We start from the raw sequence: 3,890 nt of genomic DNA, 5'->3' as shown, positions 1-3,890 counted from the left end.
TATAAGAAAGGAGTTTTTTAGGGAGAATTGGTTCACACAATCACAAGGCAAAGTCCAACGATAGGCCGCCGGCAAGCTGGAGAAGAAAGTGGCTCAGTCCTAATTCAAAAGAAGGAGAGCCAACGGGGCAGCCTTTAGTCTGTGGCCGAAGGCCCGAGAGATCCCAGCAAACCACTGGTGTAAGTCCAAGAGTCCAAAGGCCCAAGAACCTGGAGTCTGATGTCCAAGGGCAGGAGGAACAGGAGAAAGATGAAAGCCAGAAGACTCGGCAAGCAAAATCATCCCACCTTCTTCTGCCTGCTTTGTTCTAGCCATGCCGGCAGCAGATTGGTTGGTGCCCACACACACTGAGGGTGGGTCTTCCTCTCCCAGTCCACTGACTCAAATGTCAGTCTCCTCTGGGAACCCTCTCACAGACATACCCAGAAACAATACTTTACCAGCTACCCAGGCATCCTTCAGTCCAATCAAGTTGACACCCAATGTTAACCATCGCAGGGAGGATTAGCTTCTCGGCCTTTAATGGAAAGAGGCATTTCCCCATTGTGGCTTCCCTACATATAGCAGCAGCATGGGGAGGGAAGTGTGGGGCATTCCTGTTTGATCACACCACACTTGTACATGCACTTTTTTTTTTTTTTTTGAGACAGAGTCTTGCTCTGTCACCCAGGCTGGAGTGCAGTAGCGCAATCTCAGCTTGCTGCAACCTCTGTCTCGTAGGTTCAAGTGATTCTCATGCCTCAGCCTCCAGAGTAGCTGGGATAACAAGCATGCACCAACATGCCAGGCTCATTTTTGTATTTTTAGTAGAGACTGGGTTTCACCGTGTTGGCCAGGCTGGTCTCGAACTCCTGACCTGAAGTGATCCACCTGCCTCCGTCTCCCAAAGTGCTGATTACCTGCATAAGCCACCGTGCCCTGCCCACTTTTACGTGTTCTTCTATGTGTCCTTTCTGAATCCTTATGGAGACTCTGAAACGGGGATAATGTCATCCCTATTCTGTAGACGAAAGAAGGGGAGACCCAAGGAGAAGCTGTAACCAGTGGCAGAGCTGGAATGGAATCTGGAACTGCTGGCTCTGCATCCAGGCTCTTTCCTCAGTACCCGATTCACATCCCTTACTGAACGAACAAGGCGCATGGCCCCTGACTCAGAGGACAGCATGTGCTCAAGGGTTTCCCTACCTGCCTGTCCTAACCACCAGGGCACCTGGAAGCCACTGGATGCCTGTTGAAGTATGTGTTCATTGAGACATGATGGACCAGCCTCTGTGGGGACCTGGGGCTTTTGCTGGTTCATGCTTTGGAACACGGAGAGTCCTGGTCTGCCCTGAGTGTGAGTCATGCCTGGACGTTCACATCAGGTCACTCTGTAGTCTCATGTACTTATCTTACAGCCTTTCTGAGATTCTTGCAGGCCTTCCCCAGTCCTCCTTTAGTGGGATAGGTTTCCTGGGCAACCCATCTCCAGAGTCACATAGAATTCACTTGCTTTTTCACTTTTACTTTCACCAGTTCATGTTAAGTTTGTGCGATTTCCTTCCATGACCCGTGTTCCTAAGCAAGGAAAGTAAGGAACTCACACGGAATGAGAACCTGCTGTCTGCCAGTACTGGGGTGCATCTTCTCCTTGAATTTGATCTTTATAACAAGTCTACATATGTGTTAGGAGGGCGTTATTCCCATTTTTACCGTTCAGGATATTAAGGCTCAGAAGGATTTAGTACCTTTCCTGGAGGTACACCAGGAATAATAAATGGCAAAGCCAGAATTTGAATCTGGGTCTTTTAACCACTCCTTTTCAATATGCCCCACTGTCTCCTAAGGACGTTTGTTCCAACTGTGGTGGCCACTTGAATTCAGACTTGAACTCTGCTGTCTCTCTGGAATAGGTCTACTGAGCTTCTCCAGGCTTTTCTCTTCTGTCCAGTTTTTCTTTCAGTGATTTTATTTACTGAGAATCCTGGGCACTGAGAGCTGAAAGGAACTTAAAGAGGCATCCAGTTTCCCCTCCCCTGAAGCTTGAACTTCCTGCCCATCCTCATAGCCCCCTAAGAGGTAAGAAGGACAAATACTGTTGCCTCATTTTGTGGGTAAGGATAAGTTTTCAGAGAGGGCATGCTGCGTGTTCTGTTTGCCCCTGCAGGCCCACTTGGAAACTCTCTCTACCTTCCCTGTGTTCCAGGAGCCTCACCTATGGACAGCGCAGCTGGGCTGCCCTGGGCTCTGGCCTCCTTCTGGTAGGTGCTGGCAGGAGACTGGAGGGCGGGAGGAGGAGGAAGGAGATGTTTACCCTTCCGCTCCCTCCCTGCCTGGCCTCAGTCTGGTAGAAGTGAGTGGATTCCTCTACCTAAAGACATGGCTCCTGTCCAGTTTTCTCATAGTTATAGATCTCGCTGGGTTCCAGTAATAGCCTCTGTCCCTGGCATGGCACCAACTACCCACTGCTGCCAGCCCCAGGGCTTTATCAGCCCTTGTTGCTTCCCTTAATCCTACCCCACCTTTGAAAATAGCCCCTTCCTTACATTCTCATCAATCGTCTCATTGTTAGTTTTTTCTCACTCCGTTTGAGTGGTCCATGCATTTCCTTAAGTGACTCGTCCAAAGTCTCTCAGCAACTCAGGAGCGGGGCTGGTTTTCAAACACAGATCTCAGAACTGTTTTTCTAATGATTCACCTCATGGTGTTACCTGGGGCTGGCTCTGCTCCCTAGTCTGCATATTTGTGTCTGAATCTTGTCTCATTCTGCCCCAGGTCCTCTCCAAGACTGAGCACCTTTACTTTTGTCTCTTGCAGCATCCCTGGACATTCCATTGCCCACCCAGATCACTTTTTTGGGATTGCTCACTTGGCATTCCTCAGCCACACATTATAGAATGTGAACATCCCAGGGTCAAGAGCCCTCATCTCTTTGCCCTGGTTGGCTTTACCATCTCCAGGACTGTCGCTGCTAGTCCAGATGCAGTTCCGTCCTTCAACCTAAGACTCAGAGTCCAGCCCTTGAGGCCTCTTCTGTCCTGGGGCTCAGCCTTTCATGCTTCTCTGGCGCTTTGAATCTGCCAAGTGCCTGGTCCCTAGCCAGAACCCCCACTTTCTTCCTGACGTTGGATATTGGATGCCATGTCTGCCTATGGGATAGTTTCTTCCCAGGTCCATCCCATCTAAACCTTGCCTGAGCTTCAGGAGCTCAGAAGGAGCATCACAGGAGCCCTGTAGTACTGTGCCCACGTCTGACCACCCTCTCTCTGTGTTTGGGCTACTGATCCCCAGATCTCTGCTGTCTCCAACATGGCACAGTTCTGGGCACTCTCTCCCTTTGAGAAGGAACACCAATGGCCAGATTTTGGAGCATAGATACTGACATCCTTCGCCCTGACACCCAGAAAAGAAAGCCAGGGGCTGGGCCTGATGTGAAAACCTCAGTCAAGCAGGTTGGCTCCACAAGCAGCAATAATTCCTTTGGGAAACAAGAGTGCCAGGCAAGGAGACCAAGGCAGAGACTCAGGTGTGTTGGGGAATGGGGAGAGACCACTGCTTAGGGCCACAGCCCCTTGGATCTTAGCTGCTAGCCTTGAGTAAAATAATGTCATTGGGGCACTGAGGGTCCACAAGTATGTTCAGAAACTGGATGAGGTGGAAGTTGCAGGTAGAGGCTTTATTAGCTGAGGTACACGGGGTCCAGAGATGTGTGCATGTGGGGGGTGGTGCAGGAGCCCACAGGGATGGCAGGTCGGCCCACCTGGCTTCCTGCCCATTTCCCTTTCTCACTTATGCAGAGGGAATGCCTCCTTTCCTGTTCTGGCTGATATGCAATGAGAATTTTATATTCATAGCTCCCTCATTGTATGTCATCCTGAGAGGTTCCTCCTGCCTCCTCAGTGAGCCACATC

This window comes from Homo sapiens, chromosome 11 (genome assembly GCF_000001405.40).
Source record: "Homo sapiens chromosome 11, GRCh38.p14 Primary Assembly".
NCBI lineage: Eukaryota > Metazoa > Chordata > Mammalia > Primates > Hominidae > Homo > Homo sapiens.
Note: the sequence above shows the minus strand (reverse complement) of the source record.